This window comes from Homo sapiens, chromosome 7, assembly GCF_000001405.40.
Source record: "Homo sapiens chromosome 7, GRCh38.p14 Primary Assembly".
Lineage (NCBI taxonomy): Eukaryota > Metazoa > Chordata > Mammalia > Primates > Hominidae > Homo > Homo sapiens.
The window spans coordinates 138,198,470-138,221,167 of NC_000007.14; the positions used below are offsets into that span (position 1 = coordinate 138,198,470).

General features: G+C 39.5%; 1 long non-coding RNA gene across 1 annotated transcript, besides 5 other annotated features; it reads right to left on the minus strand.

The window, feature by feature from the left end:
* Nucleotides 6,912-7,777: an enhancer, noted in NCBI's record as "OCT4-NANOG hESC enhancer chr7:137890127-137890992 (GRCh37/hg19 assembly coordinates)". NCBI's record gives its function as "activates a minimal SCP1, AML or CMV promoter by ChIP-STARR-seq in naive and primed H9 embryonic stem cells {active_cell/tissue: H9 hESC(naive and primed)}" and the evidence as "EXISTENCE:reporter gene assay evidence [ECO:0000049][PMID:30033119]".
* Nucleotides 7,294-7,588: a silencer, noted in NCBI's record as "tiled region #8296; K562 Repressive non-DNase unmatched - State 22:ReprW". NCBI's record gives its function as "represses a minimal TATA promoter and a strong SV40 promoter by Sharpr-MPRA in K562 cells {active_cell/tissue: K562}" and the evidence as "EXISTENCE:reporter gene assay evidence [ECO:0000049][PMID:27701403]".
* Nucleotides 8,746-9,707: an enhancer, noted in NCBI's record as "OCT4-NANOG-H3K27ac hESC enhancer chr7:137891961-137892922 (GRCh37/hg19 assembly coordinates)". NCBI's record gives its function as "activates a minimal SCP1, AML or CMV promoter by ChIP-STARR-seq in primed H9 embryonic stem cells {active_cell/tissue: H9 hESC(primed)}" and the evidence as "EXISTENCE:reporter gene assay evidence [ECO:0000049][PMID:30033119]".
* Nucleotides 9,708-10,670: an enhancer, noted in NCBI's record as "OCT4-NANOG-H3K27ac-H3K4me1 hESC enhancer chr7:137892923-137893885 (GRCh37/hg19 assembly coordinates)". NCBI's record gives its function as "activates a minimal SCP1, AML or CMV promoter by ChIP-STARR-seq in naive H9 embryonic stem cells {active_cell/tissue: H9 hESC(naive)}" and the evidence as "EXISTENCE:reporter gene assay evidence [ECO:0000049][PMID:30033119]".
* Nucleotides 10,671-11,632: an enhancer, noted in NCBI's record as "NANOG-H3K27ac-H3K4me1 hESC enhancer chr7:137893886-137894847 (GRCh37/hg19 assembly coordinates)". NCBI's record gives its function as "activates a minimal SCP1, AML or CMV promoter by ChIP-STARR-seq in naive H9 embryonic stem cells {active_cell/tissue: H9 hESC(naive)}" and the evidence as "EXISTENCE:reporter gene assay evidence [ECO:0000049][PMID:30033119]".
* On the minus strand, nt 15,852-20,705 carry LOC124901754 (uncharacterized). The gene is made up of 2 exons (XR_007060555.1): nt 18,095-20,705; nt 15,852-17,253 (listed from the first exon to the last, which is right to left on the minus strand). It is a non-coding gene; the product is annotated as an uncharacterized LOC124901754 (long non-coding RNA).
* Between the last annotated feature and the right edge of the window lie 1,993 nt (nt 20,706-22,698).

Sequence of the window (22,698 nt, forward strand, 5' to 3'; positions counted from 1 at the left end):
CTGGTTGCATTAACCCTTAACCTCAGTCCCCAACACTTTCCAGGAGTTTGTTATGTCACAACCCTGCATCCTCAGAGACTGTGCTTCAGTGTCCCAGCCAAGTTTGCCACCGCTTAATTTGCCTTACCAAAGAGCTCTATTCTGGATAATCTAGTGACCCAGGGCCACTGGAAAATTTATTTAAAGAGTTGGTTTGCCCTTGGGGAAAACTACATAGACCTGATAACAGAAAAACTGCATTATACCTGGTAATTGGAAAACTAATAGTTTGGAAGTGATGATTTAAATTATGCCATGGAGGAAATAAAATATTAGGCATAATGAATATAGTTGATCATAAAAGAATATTCTTGTCTTATTCCAGTTTGTTGGGGGAATGCTTTCAACCTTTCCCCATTCTGTATGATGTTGGCTGTGGGTTTGTCATACATGGCTTTTATTAGCTTGAGGTATGTATATTCCTTTTATGCTTAGTTTGTTGAGGGTTTTTATCACAAAGGGATGCTGAATTTTATCAAATGCTTTTTTCACATCTATTAAGATAATTATATGGTTTTTATCTATAATTCTGTTTATATGATGTATTACATTTATTAATTTGCATATGTTGAACCATGCTTGCATCCCATCCTTGGTCATGATGTGTGCTGTTCGATGTGCTGTTTGAATTGGCTTACTAGTATGTTGTTGAGGAATTTTGCATCTATGTTCATTGGGGATATTGGTCTATAGTTTTCTTTTTTAGGTCACATTCTTTTAAGGCTCAAAATAATTTAGATCTCCAACAGCTTAGATTCTGAATTTTTTCACATATCTTTCAGTCCTAAATCCTAGGCCTTTAATCAGTTGTGTGGTAAGTGTTAGTTCAGAAAGATATACAGCACACTCTTGTCTACATAATGCTGGCATGGCTGTTATAAAAAAAGTTTTGGTCATCTCAGGTTCCCAAAAGCTGGGTTCTCTTCCTATTTTGGGAAAAGAGGCAAACTAGTCATAGTTCTATAGATAACAAACCATGTGTGCCTAGAACCCCAAACTATGTCAAAAGGACTGCCCAATTAATGAGGGTGAACTGTCTATTTAATGGGAATTGAAAGCTTTAAGTCTCTTTTACTAATTAGTAGCAGATGCTGTACCAGATGCTGAATGGGGACTTACAGAGGGCAATACATATATATATATATATATATATATATATATATATATATATATACACACACACACATATATATACATATATATATATAAAGATATATTCTGTAATAATCATTCCAAATAATATTAGCATTTACATCTTTCTGCTGGCCTGTGTTATGAACAGCAATCCACCACCACTCTTCAATGAAGTACTGGAACTCCTAGCCAGAGCAATTGAGCAAGAGAAAGAAGAAAAAGGCATACAAATTGAAAAATAGAAAGTCAAAGTATCTCTGTTTGATGATGACATGATCTTATACCTGAAAAAATATAAAGGTTCCACCAAAAAACTCTTACATTTGATAAATGAATTTAGTAAAGTTGCAGGATACAAAATTAATATACAAATATCAGGGGTGTGTCTATACACCAATTAGCAATATAGCTGAGAGTGAAATCAAGAAGACATCCTACTTGCAATAGCTATAATATTAAAGAATAATGAAATACCTTGGACTATATTTAACCAAGGAGGTAAAAGATCTCTACAAGGAAAACTACAGAACACTGATGAAAGAAATTAGGGATGCTACAAACAAATGAAAAAAAAAAGTCCCAGTTCATGGATTGGAATAATTAATATTACTAAAATGACCATACTACCCAAAGCAATCTACAGATTCAATGCTATCCCCATGAAAATGCCAACATTATTTTTCACAGAACTATAAAAAAAGATTCTAAAATTCATGCAGAACCAAAAAAAGAGTCCAAATAACCAAAGCAATTCTAAGCAAAAGGATTGAAGCTGGAGACGTTGCATTACCTGACTTCAAATTAGACTCTGAATCTATAGTAACCAAAAACAGCATGATACTGGTATAAAATTAGACAAAAAGATCAATGAAACAGAATAGAGAACCCAGAAATGAAGCCACATATGTATAGCCAACAGATCTTTGTTGAAGTCAAGAAGAACATACATTAGGAAAGGGACACCCTTTTCAATAAATGCTGCTGGGAAAATTAGAATGCCATATGCATAAGAATGAATCTGGACCCCTGTCTCTCATCACATATGAATATCAACTCAAGATACATTAAAGACTTGCATGTAAGACCTGTGGCTGTAAAAATACTAGGAGAAGGTCAGACATGGTGGTTCACACCTGTAATCCCAGCACTTTGGGAGGCCGAGGTGGGTGGATCACCTGAGGTCAGGAGTTTGAAAACAGCCTGACCAACATGGTGAAACCCTGTCTCTACTAAAAATACAAAAATTAGCAGGGCATGGTGGTGCAAGGCTGTAATCCCAGCTACTAGGGAGGCTGAGGCAGGAGAACCACTTGAACTCAGGAGGAGGAGGATGCAGTGAGCCAAGGGCACTGAGATCACACCACTATGCTCCAGACCGGGCAAAAAGAGTGAAACTCCGTCTCAAAAAAAAAAAAAAAAAAAAATACTGGAAGAAAATATGGAAAAAACTCTTCTGGACATTGGTCTAGGCAAAGAATTTATGACTAAGACCTCAAAAGCACAGGCAACAAAAACAAAAATAGACCAGTTAGACTTAATTAAACTAAAAGCTTCTGCACAGCAAAAGAAATAATCAACAGAGTGAACAGACAACCTGCAGAATGGGAGAAAATATTTGCAAACTATGCATCTGACAGGGGACTGATATCCAGAATATACATACAAGGAACTCAAACAACTCAACAACAACAAAAAAAATACCATTAAAAAGTGGGCAAGTGCCAGTCCATTGTCCTGTATGAGGAACCTGACCTTGTTCATACCACAGGGGCATCTGGCACAGGGCATTTCTCATTAATAATCTGCTTTGAAAGTCTTGACTTTAGGAGAGATTCAGGTTTGGGGCTTATCAATATCTTCACTTAAGACAGGGGTCAGCAAACTATGGCCACTGGACTGAATCCTGCCCACTGCCTAATAACATATGGTCTGAATCTGGTTTTTACATTTTTATTTTATTTTATTTTATATTTTATTATTTTATTTTTAAAATAAATAGACAGTCTTGCTCTGTCACCCAGGCTGGAGTGAAGTGACATGATCACAGCTCACTGCAGTCTCAAACTCCTGGGCTCAAGCAAACTTCCCGCCTCAGCCTCCTGAGTAGCTGGGACTGCAGATATGTGCCACCACATCTGGGTAATTTTTTTTTTTATTTTTAGCAGAGGAGAGGTCTCACTGTGTTGCCCAGGCTGGTCTGAAACTCCTGAGTTCAAGCAATACTCCTGGCTCACTCAGCCTCCCAAAGAGTTGGGATTGTAAGCATGAGCCACCACACCCGTCCTGATTTTCACATTTTTTAATGGTTGAAGACAAATTTTTAAAATATTTTATTATGTGAAAATCAGGCCAGGCACAGTGGCTCACGCCTGTAATCCCAGCACTTTGGAAGGCAGAAGCAGGCAGATCACATGAGGTCAGGAGTTCGAGACCAGCCTGGCCAACAAGGTGAAACCCCGTCTCTACTAAAAATACAGAAAAATTAGCCAGGTATAGTGGTGCATGCCTGTAGCCCCAGCTACTCAGGAGGCTGAGGCAGGAGAATCACCTGAACCTGGGAGACCGAGGTTGCAGTGAGCCAAGATCATGCCATTGTATTCCAGCCTGGGCGACAGAGCAAGACTCTGTCTCAAAAAAAAAATAAATAAAAAATACAATATTTCATTATATGAAAATCATGAAATTCAAATTTCATTTTAGTGAATAAACCTTTAATGAGAAACAGTCATATCTGTCTGTTAAAAAAAAAAAAGGTGGGCAAAGGACATGAGTAGACATTTTTCTTTTTCCTTTTTTTTTTTTTTTTTGACGGAGTTTTTGCTCTTGTCACCTAGGCTGGAGTGTAATGCCGCGATCTTGGCTCACTGCAACCTCCACCTCCCTGGTTCAAGCGATTCTCCAGACTCAGCCTCCTGAGTAGCTGGGATTACAGGCACCCACCACCACACCCTGCTAATTTTTTGTATTTTTAATAGAGATGGGGTTTCACCATGTTGGCCAGGCTGGTCTCGAACTCCTGACCTCGGGTGATCTGCCTGCCTCAGCCTCCCAAAGTGCTGGGATTACAGGCATGAGCCACCATGCCTGGCCCAACATTTTTCAAAAGAAGACATAAAAATGGCCAACGGTTATGTGAAAAAATGCTCAACATCACTAATTATCAGTGAAACGTAAGTTAAAACCACAATGAAATATCATCTAAGCCAGGCATGGTGACCCATGCCTGTAATCCCAGCACTTTGGGAGGCCAAGACAGCAGGATCACCTGAGCCCAGGAGTTTGACACCAGCCTGGACAACATAGAGAGAAACCACCTGTCAAAAAATACAAACATTAGCCAGGCATGGTGGTGCCCACCCATAGTCTCAGCTACTCGACAGGCTGAGGTGAGAGGGTCACCTGAGCCTAACAGTCCGAGGCTGCAGTGAGCTGTGACTACACCACTGCACTCCAGCCTGGGCAACAGGGTAAGACCCTGTCTCAAAACCAAACAAACAAACAAAATTAAATATTATTTTATCCCAGTCAGAACAGCTATTATTTAAAAGTCAAAAAAAAAAAAAACAACTATTGGCGAGGATGTGGAGAAAAGGGAACTCTTACACAATGTTGGTGGGAATGTAAATTAGTAACCGTCTACGGAAAACAGTTTGGAGATTTCTCAAAGAAGTAAAAATAGAACGACAATTCAATCCAGCAATCTCACTACTGAATATCTACCCAAAGGAAATCAATATATCAAAAAGACACCTGCACCTGTACATTTATTAAAGCACTATTTACAATAGCAAAGATGTGGACTCAACCTAAGTGTTCATCCATGGATGATTCGATAAAGAAAATGTGGCATATATACACGTATTCAGCTATAAACAAGAATGAAATCATGTCTTTTGCAGCAACATGGATGGAACTAGAGGTCAATATGTTAGGTAAAGGCCAGGCGCGGTGACTCACACCTGTAATCCCAGCTCTTTGGAAGGCCAACGTGGCTGAATTACCTGAGGTCAGCAGTTCAAGACCAGCCTGGCCAACATGGTGAAACCCCATCTCTACTAAACCTACAAAACTTAGCCAGGTAGAGTGCTGTGCACCTGTAATCCCAGCTACTCAGGGGGCTGAGGCAGGAGAATTGCTTGAACCCAGGAGGTGGAGGTTGCAGTGAGCGGAGATCATGCCATTGCACTCCAGCCTGGGTGACAGAGCTATATTGTTTAAAAACAAACAAACAAAAAACTTAGGTAAAGCAAGCTAGACACACAAAACAAATATCTCATGTTTTCATAAGTTGGAACTTAAAAAAATGTATACATATGAATGTAGAGAGTGGAATGACAGAACATGCAGACTCAGAAGGGTAAGGAGATTGCAAGGGTACATGAAGAGAAATTACTTTTGAAGGGCAAAATGTATGTTATCCAGGTGATAGGTACCCTAAAAGCCCTGACTTGAGCACTATGCAATCTATGCATGTAACAAAATTGCACTTGTACCTTATAAATTTTTACAAGCAAAAAATAAAATAAAATAAAATATAAAATAAAACAAAATAAATGAATGTGATGATGGCACCTGAGTCACGTGAAAGACAGCTGTAACCTAGGCAGCCGTAAACTTTGTTTCTCTGTTTATAGATTAGCCTTTTACCTTGCCTATATTGTTTTGTAAAATGTTGCAAATTATTAAAGAGCCCCGAGGAAGACCGCTTCCCTCTTCACTTATAGATTAACATTCCTCTTACCTTTCTCACACAAAAACTTCATGGCTATCACATTGTCTTAAGATGGGATGTTAAATACATTCTTTTTAATTGGAAAGGAAATAAAAACCAGCTATAAAGAAAAGAAAACAAGCATTATGGAAAAGAAAACAAAACTGCAACAAATTACATTGTTGTAACTCATAAACCAGTCTTTTATAGAAAATGTTATAATCCTACTAAATGTCTTTGTTATCTTTCTATATAAGTAAGAACTTAGCTTTTCGTTTAGGAACACTGACCCCATTTCTCTAGAGTCTTTGTGTCTCAGATGGCTATTCCCAGCTTTTTGCTTGAATAAACTCTTTAAACTGGATTCTGGTCCTTTTGATTATTTCAGGTTGACAGAAACAAGTAAGAAAAAGTATATGTGCTTGAATGTCCACTTGCTTTAAGCAGATTATTACGTTATGATGACTTGGCTTGCAGAGCAAAGAAAATATGAAAAAGAAGCACATCTCAATTATTCTTTCTGGAAGGAATCCAAGAACAACTAGACGAGAGATTTTATATGGCTGGTCTCCCATGGAAAACTGACCTTTTCCATTTTCAGTAACTCCAAGACCAGCTGTTCAGACTGTGAACCACAAGGGCGTAAAGGATGTCATTCTTATCTTTTTTTTTTTTTTTTTTTTTTTGAGAGAGCGCATCTCCCTCTGCCCAATCATAGATCACTCAAGCAGCATCAAGCTCCTAGGCTCAAGTGATCCTGCTGCCTTGGCACCCCAAAGTGTTAGGATTACAGGCATGAGTCACTGTGCCCAACTCATAGACATCTTTATAATTTTCCATTCTTGTGAATATTTGTATTTATAATGTTATTGGCTCTAAAAATTGATGCTATGAGAGTTTTTGGCAGATGGCAGTAAAATGTCTCTTGCTAATAAAATCTGCATATTACCATTTTCTGAAAAATGAAAGTAAATGGTTTATCTAACTGTTTCAATATGTATAATTCGGTTTCAATTTAAACAGGAGGAATAAGTACAATAATATAAAGATCTTGAAGATCCAAAAGCAAGTGAAACAAATCTGTCCTTCTACACAAGGAGATGCTTTTCAACCAAAATACTGTTTAGGGAGCATCGTAACATGTGAAGCAAAATTCTTTGTTGGTCTTAGGGCACTTAGTATTTCATATAATAGTTCATATGATCACCTACTTATTTATTATATTGGAAAGATATTGTCGAGTATCTCTGAGTCTTTTGATTATAACATGTGAAGGAAATAAAAATATTTTACCCCAAAATATATTTCTTTGCCATACTTTGAAGTGACCTGCAAGGATGTCTTTTGTGGGAGAAATTTGCATATGTCCATCTGTAGAGAATCTGCATTAATACAGCCAGCACTTCTCTGGATCCAGGAAAGATTAACAGAGTTAAAGGTCTGAAAAGGAACATTTACCATCTATTCTCTCTAAGGGCTCCTACCTGTGAGGTTTCATCTACATAACAAGACCACATTTGTTAGGCAAGCCTCTTCCTTTCTCCCTCCCGTGATCTGCTTTGCCACTAAAACCTGACTTACCGCTATAACTGATGATTATTATTTTTTTTGGCCATACTCTGAGCCCACATTCTTTTTGTAACCTCAAGATGTTACACAAGTTTTTGTACCTCACTGAGGGGTTGGGTCTTCATTCTGAAGGCTCACATGTATATACATTAAATACATTTGTATGTCTTTTCTCCTATTAATCAATCTGCCTCATTTCAGTGATTTTTCAGCAAACCTTTAGGAGGACAAGCCCCTTGGCTCCACATATGATTCACTACATAATAACTAACCTTTATTTACCACTAAAAATTTACAAAGAAATACTGCATAGAGATTGCTAATTTTTTTTTATTACAAATTTGGTAGTTTTATTGTCTTTGATTTTTTAACAATTTTTTTTATTATTATACTTTAAGTTTTAGGGTACATGTGCACAACATGCAGGTTTGTTACATATGTAGACATGTGCCATGTTGGTGTGCCGCACCCATTAACTCGTCATTTACATTAGGTATATCTCCTAATGCTCTCCCTCCCCCCTCCCCCACCCCACAACAGGCCCCGGTGTGTGATGTTCCCCTTCCTGTGTCCAAGTGCTCTCATTGTTCAATTCCCACCTATAAGTGAGAACATGCGGTGTTTGGTTTTTTGTCCCTGCGATAGTTGAGATTGCTAAATATTAATCCACTTTTAAAAACAGCAATTTTTTAATTATGGCGATTTCATCAATATAAAAATAACTACTATTGAGATGTAGAGGCCAGGCATGGTGGCTCACACTTGTTATCCCAACACTTTGGGAGGCCTAAGTGGGTGGGTCACCTGAGGTCAGGAATTCGAGACCAGCCTGGCCAACGTGGTGAAACCCTGTCTCTACTAAAATATAATAAAATTAGCCGGGTGTGGTGGCGGGCACCTTAATCCCAGCTACTTGGGAGGCAGAGGCAGAAGAATCGTTTGAACCCAGGAGGCGAAGGTTGCAGTGAGCCGAGATCGAGCCATTGCACTCAAGCCTGGGGGACGAGAGCGAGACTTCTCTCAAAAATAAAAAGAAAAATAAATATAAATATTTAGAGTAACATGCATACTATTTTTCATTTATTTTTAGCTTTCAATTTTTTATTTTTAAATGATATCAGACTTATTACAAAGTTGCAAAAATGGCATAAAAATTTTCTGTAGACTATACACTTCACTCAGTTTTCCTTAATGTTAACTTTTTTGTTGTTGTTTTGGTAGAGGCAGGGTCTCACTATATTGCCCAGGCTGGTCTCAAACTCCTGGGCTCAAGCGATCCTCCCACCTCAGCCTCCCAAACTTCTAGGATTACAGGTGTGAGCCACCATGCCCAGCCTTAACATCTTATATAACCATCATACAATGATCAAAAACAGCAAACTAATATTGATACAATATTATTAACTAATCTCAAAGCCTTACTCAAATGTTACCAGTTGTCCCACTGATGTTCTTTTTCTGACCCAGAATCCAGTCCAGGGTTCTGTGTTGCAGTTAATTTTCATGTATCCTTAGTCTCTTCCAATCTAGGACAGCTTGGGTTTTGGGGTGTTTTTTGTTGTTGTTGTTTGTTTTTTTGCATTATCTGACTTTGACAATTTTGAAGACCATTAGCTGGTTATTTTGTGGAATGTTCTTTAACTGCCCAACAGGTTCACCTTGCCTGCTGCTTAGACAGAGCCGACTTATCAAGACAGAGGAATCACAATAGTGAAAGAGTAATACATGCAGAGCTGGCTCTGCGGGAGACTGGAGTTTTATTATTACTCAAATCAGTCTCCCCAGGCATTCGAAGATCAGAGTTTTTAAGGATAATTTGGTGGGTGGGGGCAGCCAGTGAGTGGGGAGTGCTGATTGTTTGGATTGGAGATGAAATCATAGGGAGTCACATGATCAGATGGGCCACAAGATCAGATGAGCCAGTTTCTCAATTTGGGTGGTGCCAGCTGATCCATTAAGTGCAGGGTCTGCAAAATATCTCCAGCACAGATCTTAGGCTTTACAATAATGATGTTATCCCCAGGAACAATCTGGGGAGGGTTAGAATCTTGTAGCCTCCAGCTGCATGACTCTTAAACCATAATTTCTCATCTTTTGGCTAATTTGTTAGTCCTACAAAGGCAGTCTAGTCCCCAAGCAAGAAGGGGACCACCTTGGGAGAGAGCCGTCTTCATCTTTGTTCTGAACTATAAACTATAAACTAGGTTCCTCCCAAAGTTAGTTCAGCCTACATCCAGAAATGAACGAGGACAGCTTGGAGGTTAGAAACAAGATGGAGTCGGCTAGGTCAGCTATGTCTCAGCTATAATTTTGCAGTGGCAGTTTCAGTTCCACAATTTGGGCTTGTGGCATAATATAAACTATTTTTGGTCTTTGTCCACAGTTCCTAGCACAGAGTTCCTAAAACTCTTGGAATTTCCAGAGTTAGGAGAGTGTCTTTGTTATACTAATGAGGTTAATCCTAACCCTAGGTAGCTTCAGAATAGGGGCCAGCTGCCAGAAAAACCAATCTTGCGAGAAGAATGTTAGAAGTTTCAGCCCTATTCCCTAACCTCCAGGGAAGCAGAGAGCTGGAGATTTAGTCCAACCACCAATGACCAGTGATTTAAACAACCATGCTTACATAATAAAGCCCTTTGATAAAAGCCCTTAAACAACAAGGCCCTGGGAGCTTCCAAGTTGAACACATTGCTGTGCTGAGAGGGTGGTATACCTGGAGAGGGCATGGGAACTCTGAACTCATGCTGCACCAATACCTTGTCCTAGGCATCTCTTGCATCTGGCCATTCCTGCATTGTATCCTTTATAAGACTTTAATTGTAAGTATAGCACTTTACTGAGTTCTGTGACTCATTTTAGAGAATTGTCAAACCTCAGAGGAGGCAGGTCAGGAGAACCCCCAAATATGTGTGTATCAGTCCATTTTCACACTGTGATAAAAAAAAAATACCCAAGACTGGGTAATTAATAAGAGAATGGGTTTAATTGACTCACAGTTCCACATGGCTGGGGAGGCCTCGGGAAACTTACAATTGAAGCAGGAAATTTCCCTGACCCCTTTGTGGGCAGGAACTGGAGCACATGGGCACTGGATGTAGCTGACTGCTTCAGTGCCAGCAGGGGCAAACTCCACTCACTTGACCCTGCTGTGCTTCACCCTTCATGGGAGGGAGCATGCAGGTGAGCAGGTGCAGGAGCTGGGGCAAGTGCTTTTGGGTCCCGGCCAGAGCAAACCCCATGGCAGTGTCTAGGGGGTGCCTACAACCCCTGAAGCCCAGAGGGAGTGTGTTACAGTGCTCTCTTAGCTCTGTTGTCCATGGACAACTTAAGTTTTAAACAGGTCAGTGAGCCCTCTGCCCTTTTGAGTGAGGTGGCTGCTTTCTGCCAGCAAGGGCAGAAATTCAGGGTGACAGCCTTTTGTATCCTCACCTGTGGTACTGAAGCCCTTGTTCAGTGTCCAGGAAAAATCAAGTCGCAAGAACAAATTGAAGGGCAGTGAATCCAGAGGATTGTATTGCCAATGAAAGTGGCTCTTAGTGGAAAGGGGATGGAAGAGGAAGGTGATCTTCCCCCAGAGTCTAGCCATCCCCAACCAGACTCCTCTCCAAAGTTACACCATCAAGCCATCCCTCTGAAGTTAAGCTGCTTCTCTCCAACGTCCAAGCATAGCCTCTGACGTCCAGCTGCTTCTCCTCTCTGGTTGAGTTTGGGGTTTTTATGGGCACAGGATGGAGGACAGGGAGGGCCATGGGTGGTTTTGGAAAAGGCTACATTCAAACAGGACAACAGGAATGTATGCTCTCACTTTGGGTTGCAGTTCCAAGCTTGAGGGTGGGACCCTTACTGGGGACAGGCCCTCTTCTGCCCAGAATTTCCCTGCCTCCTGTCCCTATCACAATTATGATGGAAGGCAAAGGGGAAGCAAGAAACTTCTTCACAAGGTGTCAGGAGAGAGAAGAAAAAAGGAGTAACATCCAAACACTTATAAAACCATCAGATCTCATGAGAACTCACTCACTACCACAAGAACAGCATGGAGGAAACCACCCTCATCATCCAATCAAGTTCCCTCCCTCGACACATGGGGATTACAGTTTGAGATGAGATTTGGGTGGGGACACAGAGTTAAACCATATCAATGTGGTTGGTAGGGAGAAATGTGGGTGCCTTGAGGACACCTGAAAATTGCAGCTGGTGTCTGATATGAGGCAGTTTGAGCCTCTTAACATGTAGGGTCTGTGCTAACTCCAGGTAGTTACCATCAAGGTCAAATTAAATTGTAGGACACCCAGCTGATGTTATTGAATTAGTGTTGGAAAATGACAGACAGGGTTAACTGAGGCCTCCTTATGACAAATTCAGATTATATATTTTTGGTAAAAATACCACGGAAGTGATTTTGAGTCCTTCTTAGTGCATCACATCAGGAGGCACATGATGTTGATAGGTTATATTACTGGTATGGTAACTTTGGTCATTTGGCTAAGGTGATGTTGGCCAGGTATCTCCACTGTAAACCTGTCTTCCCCAAACCTATTATTTTTGTAATGTTTCAGATTCTAAGTTAAAATACGAAGCTATTACATAACTTTTTCCTGATGTCAAAAAGAATTTTTTTCTAATTACCAGTATAAGAAAACAGAAAATGGGCCAGTCGCAGTCACTCATGCCTGTAATCCCAGCACTTTGGGAGGCCGAGGCAGGTAGATCATGAGGTCAGGATTTCGAGACCAGCCTGGCCAACATGGTGAAACCCCATCTCTACTAAAGATACAAAAATTAGCCAGGGATGGTGGTGCATGCTTGTAGTCCCAGCTACTAGGGAGGCTGAGGCAGGAGAATCACTTGAACCTGGAAGGCAGAGGTTGCAGTGAGCTGAGATCATGCCACTGCACTCCAGCCTAGGCGACAGAGCAAGACTTCGTCTCAAAAAAAAAAAAAAAAAAGAAAGAAAACAGAAAATGGGCTGGATGTGGTGGGCCACACCTGTAATGCCAGCATTTGGGGAGACTTAGGTGGGAGGATTGCTGGAGCCCAGGAATTGGAGACCAGCCTGGGCAATATAATAAGATCCTGTTTCTATTAAATAACAAAAATATAATATTTTATCATATATAATATATAAAGTATATATATTTTATCATATATAATATATAAAGTATATATAATTTTTATATATGTATGTAAAGAAAAAACAACCACAAAAAAGTAAAAGCAACAACAACAGAAAAGAAAACAGTAAATGACAGAAATACATTTGGATAATTGAACACATTTGTGGAGGAAATAGATTAAATGCAGGGAGAAAAAAGGAATAGTTATTGGTATGAGCACAATATAGCACTTATGTGTCACTACTTGGACAGAATATGAATTTACTTTTCATCTCCATGTTCATTATAACTGACACATTTCCAGAAAAACCAGAAGAGAAAAAAAACAAGACTCCATTAAGCCCCATATACTTTCTGTGGATCCTAGTACACATTCACATAATTTGCATATTTAAAGGAATCTCTAGTTGGTAATTATCTACCCGAAGCTACAGGTAATAAGTTTTTAAAAACATTACACACAAATTCTCCCAGGTCACAAAAAATATTACTAGTCTTTTATACTTCAAAATAGCGTGTTTTCTGTCTTTATTTGAAAATCTTCGGGAATAGAAAAAAAAAAAATCAAAGAAAAATAGAAAATAAAACAAACATTGGCAGTATTTACCCTATGCCCTTAATAAACGTGAAGAAAATTAAACAGATATCCACAACAGTGTTAAGTATTTAAAATTGAAATGTGATTTTAAAATATAGTTACATTTACTTCATCTGTGAAAAAAGGGAAAAATATTTTTTAAAAATAAAATAATTATATGTATAGCTATAATTATTAATGCTACAAAACATTAACTATATGAAAATAAGATAAAATATGAGTGCACTCTTGTGAAGGACAGAATGTAGATGATTCATTTTTGGTGGACAATGTCAGCATTCAGAAGACCATCTAAGAACTTTATAAACATAATAATGAAAAATTTTCCTCATTTGGCAGAAACCACAGCAAATTTTAATGTTAAATACAGAACCTTTTTTTAGACTACAAACACTAACATCAAATCACATATAACTTGGATAAGGCAGGAAGTTCTAAATATTACTGAGCCATTTTAGATATAGCCCCTGATACGAGCTATATAGACTGGATAGTAATTATTACCAGATTTCTGGATGTTGAAAAGGCAAATATGTCTGTGGGTGAAAATTTTGTGGCAGTTTGTTCCATAAATGACATGACTAGAAAATGACTATATGTGTTTTTAATAATGTTGATTGTTGATTCCTCTGCAGAAACTGCCAGAATAACCTGTTAGTCAAGCAAAGACAAGTGTATTTGACTTATGGCAGCAAGGGAGAGCAGCATCTTAGCAAAGTCTCTGCAGTGTCTTGGCAGGGGAAAGTTTTGGGGTCTGGTGATGCAGGGCAGGTCCTTCAAGGCAGGGACTGGTGGGGATTTGGAAAGAAAGTTCGTGACATAATAGTTTAGGATTGGTGGTCACAGCAAGTCTTTAAACAAGTCTGGAGAAACGAAACTATTGTCTTGATAAGACCAGCTGTTTGTCCAGGTGAGCACACAGTACTCTTGATAAGACTAGTTGTTGCCACAACCAGGCAACTGTTTGCCTTAATAAATTAGTTTGCAGGAATTTCCTAAAGCAAATGATAAAGTTACTTACTTATTAGTCTGCAGTCTTATTTTCTGGGGCTATAATTTACTGGGGGAAAAAATGGTTGAGCTATATGACAGAGATAATATCAATTCTCAGTAGAATGCTTATAAAAACTGAATCTAGATGAAATAATTTAGATGGCCAGGAAAATAACAATCCTACAAATACACATGGAAAATGTAAGGGATGGAACAACAAATCCCTTGGCTGGGCGCGGTGGCTCACACCTGTAATCCCAACACTTTGGGAGGCTGAGGCAGGCGGATCACTTGAGGCCAGGAGTTCGAGACAAGCCTGGCCGACATAGTGAAACCCTGTATCTACTACAAATACAAAAATTAGCCAGGCTTGGTGGCGGGCACCTGTAGTCCCAGCTACTAGGGAGGCTGAGTCAGGAGAATCACTTGAACCTGGGAGGTGGAGATTGCAGTGAGCTGAGATTGTGCCACTGCACTCCAGCCTGGATGACAGAGTAAGACTCGGTCTCAGAGAAAAAGAAAAAAAAAAAAGACCAGTAACAGTAAATCCCTGAAAAAATGTATATAACACAGCCTGTGTTCCTTGTTTTGCACATTCTTTAAACTTTACAGAAAACACGCAGCAATGTCTCTGGCATCAGAGTTGGAGATACTTGAAAATAATTTTAGAAGAGAAAACTTTGAAGCCATTTTTGAAAAAAAAAAAGATAAAAATCCAGTCAAAGCTATCATGACCCTAGAAACTCAAAGTAAGAATGCAATACTCAGACATTATTGTGAGTTTAATTGTTGAATTTTTCTGTAACACAAGCCAAAGTGATAATTTTGAAAATAACCAATTTTAAATATATTTGCTCAGCACCAATTTGGTATAATAGCTTCAGTAAAATTGATGTTATACGCAAAATGATGCAGGAGCAAAAATTCAATGTACATAATGCACTTAAAAGCATTAAAGGAATTAATAACTTTTTTGAAGACACAGCAATAATGCTTAGGAAAAATATATTGATACTAAAAAACTTGCAAAGTCTCTTGGCATTGACAAACTCACTGATATAGGCAAGCCTGAAAAAGGACCAAGACATTTCAATTCAACTGAAAATCCAATCTATGACCCAAAACTAAATTTCAAATTCAATTTTCTTCTATGCTAGATACAACAATATCATCTTTAAAGGAAAGTTTTAAAATACTGAAAGAAAATCATGGTCTTTCTGTGTTCTAGATGACAAATGTAATTTAAAGAATTCTAAGAAATATAAACTACTACAACTATGTAAGCACTAACTATTGAAATTGACTGGTGAACATAGTAAGAAAAATGACACTGACAAGACTTCAATGTATACGAAACTAAAACTTTTAGTTGATTTCTAAAATCAACACTTCCATTTCTCTAGATGAGGTATTGTAATATATTTGCCCCAATAATTTGCTGTTCACATGCCCTATAACTTTGGTAGCTCTAAGCATAAAGTTAACTTTGTGGCAGTAACTGCCAATGGAAAATTTCATAGCTTCACCAAACTAAGGTTTATTAAAGGTATATGATGGCATAAGAAAAACTTTGTTTTCCTTTAGAAAATAAGACATGAGTAAGCAGGCATTGAAACTGTTACCAGTTGAGGGTGCCCAGGTTCTTGGCATTTTGAACAAAGAATTGGACAAAACGCACAAAGAAAAGAAAGAATGAAGCGACAAAAACAGATTTATTGAAATGAAAGCACACTCCCCAGGGTGGGAGTGGCTTGAGCAAGTGGCTCAAGGGCCCAGTTACAGAATTCTCTGGGGTTTAAATACCCTCTAGAGGTTTCTATTGGTTACTTGGTGTACACTCTATTTAAATGGAGAGGCTGAAGTGAAGTTACAAAGTTATTTACTTGGGGTACACCCTGTGCAGATGAAGGGGATGAAGTGAAGCTACAAAGTTATTTATTTGGTGTATACCTTGTGCAAATGAAGAGAATGTTTCCTGTCATAGCTGAAGTAGAGTTACAAAGTTATTTACTTGGTCTTAGAAAGTTGGGTTTTTTCTGTTTGATTTAGTTCTAGGAAGTCCTTAGGTTCCCTGCCCCCTGACCCTATTCTCCTGCCTCATCTCCCCCATGAGAGACATGAGCCTCATAAATCTTTCTGGGAGTCAGAGGGACTGATGGTCTTTCTTCTGCAACTCCTTCATGCTGGCTTGGGGTGTAGTCTCTACCTACTGGGGATCATGGAACTCTCACCCTGTGCTGTCTAATGGAGGCAGGGTAGCTTCTTGATGGCCAGGGAGGTGGGGGGTGTCTTCATCTGGAACTAACTGGAACCCTTCTTGCATGATCATCTGAAGCTTGACAGTCTCTAGGGGACAGGAAATGCATTTGTTTAAAAGATTTAATGGGAACTTCAGGAGGTGGATACCTGTGCTGTCAGGAATGTTTGTTATACAGATTTGCGGGAGAAAAACAAAACCTGATCTGTTCTAAGATCTGTATGTTTCCTTAAAGTCTTAGCATGAATGACTCCATTTTGGTTTGGTTTGGTCTGTTGGGGCCTAGCACATGAGCTCAGTCCAAAACAATGACCTCCCATAATTTTGTTTTAAAAAATTCCCCCTTTTTGGTCAGGTTCTCACTTAGGTGAGAGTGTGACCAATACTTAAGGCGTTACCGCCACTCTCAGTTACCACCATGTTGGGTTTCCGGTCTCAGCACATCATTGATAGGTTACAGTGTCCTCATGGTGGCATATTTCTTTCAGCTCTTGTCATTCAGTTTAAAGAGAAACCATTTGACATTCTAGAGATGGCTGCACGCCAACACTTAAAACCTTTGAGATAATGCAGCTCACCAGGGAGACTATTATCATGACTATCGGGAGGATAATACCAAGACCTTGGAGTGTACTCCTTACCCAGGGTTCCCATAAACCAAACCACATAAAATCAAATAGATCAAAGAATGAGCTAAACAGTCTACTCACCTAAATAAGCAATCCCTTCATTAATCCCCTACCACTGAATCTCTATAATCTTCATTTGATGCATTTCTCCATAGGTCACAGTGCCAGCAGCTGCACAGATACTTCCATTCAGCCAATTCTATCATAACCTTTACAAGAGAATTTAAAGTCTTTGAAGTCTGTTGTGTAACTATAGCCTTTACAGTAGAATCTGCTGTACAGCCTATCACGAGGGATAAATTTCTAATCATTGTTTTTACTCCAAACCATGGAAAAAGGACCTAACAAATGATGCCCTTCTAGAAGAGTGAAGGCCTCCTGGCAATGTTCTCTTTAACCCATGATGTGGATTAAGAGGAATGAACCAATGTTCCATTTCTGACTGATTATGAGGTGACATGTACCATTGAAGTTTCTCACCTACAGGCCAGGTGTGGTGGCTCATGCCTGGAATCCCAGCATTTTGGGAGGCCGAGGCGGGTGGATCACAAGGTCAGGAGATCGAGACCATCCTGGCTAACACAGTGAAACCCCATCTCTACTAAAAATACAAAAATTAGCCGGGTGTTATGGCCGGTGCCTGTAGTCCCAGCAACTTGGGAGGCTGAGGTGGGAGGTGGAGCTTGCAGTGAGCCGAGATTGTGCCACTGCACTCCAGCCTGGGCAACAAAGCGAGACTCCATCTCAAAAAAAAAAAAAAAAACAAAAAACTTTCTCACCTACATCGGGCTTTCATCTTTTATCTACCAAAGTATAAGGTTATCCGTGTGTAAGGCTGGCTGCAAAATCCTTCACAAATAAAAGTATGCCGCATAAGTACACACAACAAACCTCTTTTCCATTTCTACTGTTCATAGAGGCATAAACAAGGAAAAAATATTCAAAGAGTCTCATGATAGTGGAGAAGTTTTGATCCATGATGTTGGGACAAGTTGTTCACATCAAGGATGCCATCTTTTTCTGGGGAGAAACTTCCCTGGTTAGCTTTACCTTAAGGGTTCCAATGGGTGTACAGTTCCAAGAGTGTGGAGGGACCCTTTTCATCTGTGAGATTACGAACTCCAAGTTCAAGGTCCCGAAGTTTTGCTGTAGCGTGGATGGCAAGGACAGTCTTTCTCTGATGTTCTCAGAAGATCCAATCTTCCGGTTCTAGACTGTGAAGGGGTTGATTTTCCTCACTCAGTGAACCATAAAAAGCTTTCTTTACCTGGTGAAAATACACTGTAGCATAATAATCTACGGTTACAACATCAACCCTCTTGCATGGGAACGCTTTTATACAGCCAGAAAACGTGCATTGAAAATGACAATTGAAATGTTTAAGTGACCCATCAGGTAGCCAAACGTACCTGAAGCTTTGATTGTCTTCCCAGGAATATGGATTTGAGAAACCAAATATTGGTTATAAAATACTTTAGCAATTTATAAGTCAGCACTCCAGTATAAATTTAATTTGGATCATTTTATCTCTTCCATGATGAGTCATAGAATGCATAACCTTTAATAACAAAAGCTTTAAGGACTCAGGAAGGACAAGGTGGCTATCCTAGTTCTCCATGAGCCTATGCTTAACACTGGACTTATGACCTCTTGAATACCAGTTGTTTCTCCAACTTACGGGCATAGTACTGATAACTAATGGGTTATAATAGGTAATTTGACTTAAGACCATGGAGTTCAAATGACTTTAAATAATGGTAGTTAAAAACACTATTGACAAGGAAATTTGGTTATTTCTGTGGTCTACAGTAACTTAACGTAATAATTAAGATTGATAGAATATACTCAGAATATACTAGAATTTTAGGACTCCCACAAAAATCATTCAGTCGACTGAGAAGAAAAAAACCTTCTTCCAGAAAAACAAGATCCAAGAAGAGAAAAAAAACACAACATAAAGGCCTTTTAAATGTACCTATAGTTAGAATCCACTTTTAATTAAACTGACTTAACCACAGCATTCTTTAAAAAAAAAAATCCTTTAAAATCTCATATTACCCAATTTTAGCCACATGAAGTGGCCAATATTTCTGGCTTTTGAACGTTACCAAAGGTAACCTCCCAGATGCTCAGAGAAGAAAAATTCAAGATGGTTCACAGAGGGGAAAAGAACCAACAAATGGTAAAGGTCACACAGATATCAAACCAGAAAGGAATCATTTCCCAAGCCAGGACTCAACACAGGCCACCACTGTAAAATGGCAAAACCCCAGCTGCTGAGCCACAGCATTGGACAGTCTACACTGTTCCTTTCAGAAGGAGTCTAGAGTAGCTCATTTTGAGCTTGCAAAGGCTTCCAACTACTTAAGACAACTTTTAGAGCTAACTATGACCTCCTAGGGACATAAAACAAGATGGAGACCTCATCCAGTTGTTTTGTTTGTTTCAGGGACCTGCAGCAAAGTTTGTTACTGACCAGGCTACTGGGTTGTCACGAGCAGTGAGCTTATGGGGTCCTAAGCCCATGTTCTATCCTAAGGTACACCTCTTCATGACAGTACAACAGAGAAAGAAAAATTCATAGCACAAAATAACCCAGATTTGCTACAGCTTATGAGTAGCCTCAGAATTTCTTTTCACATTAACCAAAACTTTACAAAGGAGATAAACAGTGATTTTTACCATTCATTCGATTGGTTTGCACAGAGAGAGGTCAGAAGTCCAACTGGTAAGAAATTCTTACCCTTTTGCTGGCATGTCAGATTTCTGGGTTCTCCTTCCCTAGGCAGCCCTAGCAACCCTACTCAACTGTAGGCAAAAAAATAAATAAATAAATAAATTGCCATGAGTTAAGAACATTCACAAATAGTTTACAAATTTTGGAGAAATTAGGCAGACAGAGAGAAAAATGACTCAAATTCTATTTATGAAAGTATACTCAATACATTCAAAGTATCAGGGAGCCTAATATCCAAAAAGTCAGTTTAAGTTTTAAAAGCTGGTGCACCCCATCAATTCCTGTGGGCCTGACAAAGGTAGTCTAGGAATTCCAGATTAATGGAACAAATGATGACTTGCTAGAAAGGCATAGGAAATGAAATAACTATTCACAGAACCAAATAAAAGTTTTCCACTAGAAACTAAAAAAAAAATCATGGTTTTATATATATGCATACACAAGCAAAGCCCAGAGGAGAATAAACAGCAAATTAATAAAAATTAGAAGCAAAAACACAGAAACAGGAAACCAACCCTAAATTTTTTCTACCCAATCTACCCTGGAGGCTACATTGTTACCCAGGGCCCCCAAAACCCCACATAATAAATATTTTATTCCTGATACACAATTCAGTATCCTTAAGTCCACCAATATCACCACACATCCTGTGCAATCAATAAATTTACTCTAGGCCAGGTACAGTGGCTCATGCCTGTAATCCCAGCATTTTGGGAGGCTGAGGTGGGTGGATCACCTGAGGTTAGGAGTTCGAGACCAGCCTGGGCAACATGGTAAAAACCTCATTTCTACTAATAATACAAAAATTAGCTGGGCATGGTGGCGTACACCTGTAATCCCAGCTACTTCGGAGGCTGAGGCAGGAGAATCGCTTGAACTCTGGAGGCGGAGGTTGCAGTGAGCCGAGATTGCTCCACTGCACTCCAGCCTGGGGCACAAGAGTGAAACTCCATCTCCAAAAAGATAAAGAAAGAAAGAAGAAATTCACTGTAGGCCCATGACCAGTAAGTACTCCAGTGCCAGTGCTATCCATGCAAAACAGTAAACGTAGTGTGAAGCAATGCAAGCATGTATGTGAAATTTGGCTCCACACTAAATCCAGCTTCATGCTTAAAAAAGAATTACCAAACTTCTGATGCATTTCTTTACAATATTTATTTTACTTTAATCAAGACTAAGAGCTTTAACTATGAACATGTTAATTAGCCAAATTTCTCCAATTCTCTATCAGGTTTTAAAGAATATTTTATTATCTAAGCCTTTTCCACATTTTTCTCCCCTACTTACTGGTGCCTTACTACGTTGTTTCATAATTAACCTTTTCAAATCTGTCATTTGAACTAATTTTTAGATAACTTCTGAATTAGACTTGTTCTCACTAATAACACAACGCTTTCTGGCACGTTTTGTATACAGAATTATGTGTTAACTAGAATTCTTACTTATTTCATTTTTAACAGTTTATTTAAATTAAATTACTTCTGTAAACTGAGATATTAGATGCTATCATTTAAAGTTAGTGATTTAGCTAATAACATTAAATTACTCTCTTTTGTCAAAAAAAAGGCACATAAACCAATACGACTTTGTTTTGACTGGGTTTACACTTTTATAACCTTCTATGCTACACACTAACACCTCAAAATATCTAGCAGAGACAAATATAAAATCCAGACAAAATGTATGCTGACAGGAAAATGTGCGAAAGTTTGGAACTTCCTAGAGACTTGTTGAATGGCTTTGACAAAAATGTTGATAGTGATATGAACAATAAGGTCTGGGCTGAGGTGGTCTCAGATGGAGATGAGGAACTTGTTGGGAACTGGAGCAAAGGCGGCTCTTATTATGTTTTAGCAAAGAGACTGGTGGCATTTTGCCCCTGTCCTAGAGATTTGTGGAAATTTGAACTTGAGAGAGATGATTTAGGGTGTCTGGCAGAATAAATTTCTAGGCAGCAAAGCATTCAAGAGGTGATTTGGGTGCTGTTAAAAGCATTCAGTTTTATAAAGAAAGCAGAGCATAAAAGTTTGGAAAATTTGCAGCCTGACAATGCAATAGAAAAGAAAATCCGATTTTCTGAGGAAAAAGTCAAGCCAGCTGCAGAAATTTGCATAAGTAACAAGAAGCTGAATGTTAATCCTCAAGACAATGAGGAAAATGTCTCCAGGGCATGTCAGAGGTCTTCACGGCAGCACTTCCCATCACAGGCCTGGAGGCCTAGGAGGGAAAAATGGTTTCTTGGGCCAGGTCCAGGGTTCCTGTACTGTGTGTAACCTAGGGACTTGGTGCTCTGCATCCCAGCCGCTGCAGCCATGGCTGAAAGGTGCCAACATAGAGCTCAGGCCATGACCTCAGAGGGTGCAAGCCTCAAGCTTTGGCAGTTTCCATGTGGTGTTGAGCCTACAAATTCACAGAAGTCAAGAATTGAGGTTTGGGAACCTCTGCCTAGATTTCAGAAGATGTACGGAAACGCCTGGATGTCCAGGCACAAGTTTGCTACAGGGGTGGGATTTTCATGGAGAGCCTCTGCTAAGCAGTGCAGAAGGAAAATGTGGTATTGGAGCCCACACACTGAGTCCCTACTGGGACACTGCCTCGTGGAGCTGTGAGAAGAGGGCCACCATCCTCCAGATGCCAGAAATGGCAGATTCACTGACAGCTTGCACCATGTCCCCGGAAAAGCTGCAGACACTCAACGCCAGCCCATGAAAGCAGCCGGGAGGGAGGCTGTACCCTGCAAAGCCACAGGGGTGGAGCTGCCCAAGACCACGGGGACCCACCTCTTACATCAGCATGACTTGGACATGAGACATGGAGGCAAAGGAGATCATTTTGCAACTTTAAGGTTCAACAGCCCCACTGGATTTTAGACTTGCATGGGGCCTGTAGCCCCTTTGTTTTAGCCAGTTTCTCCCAT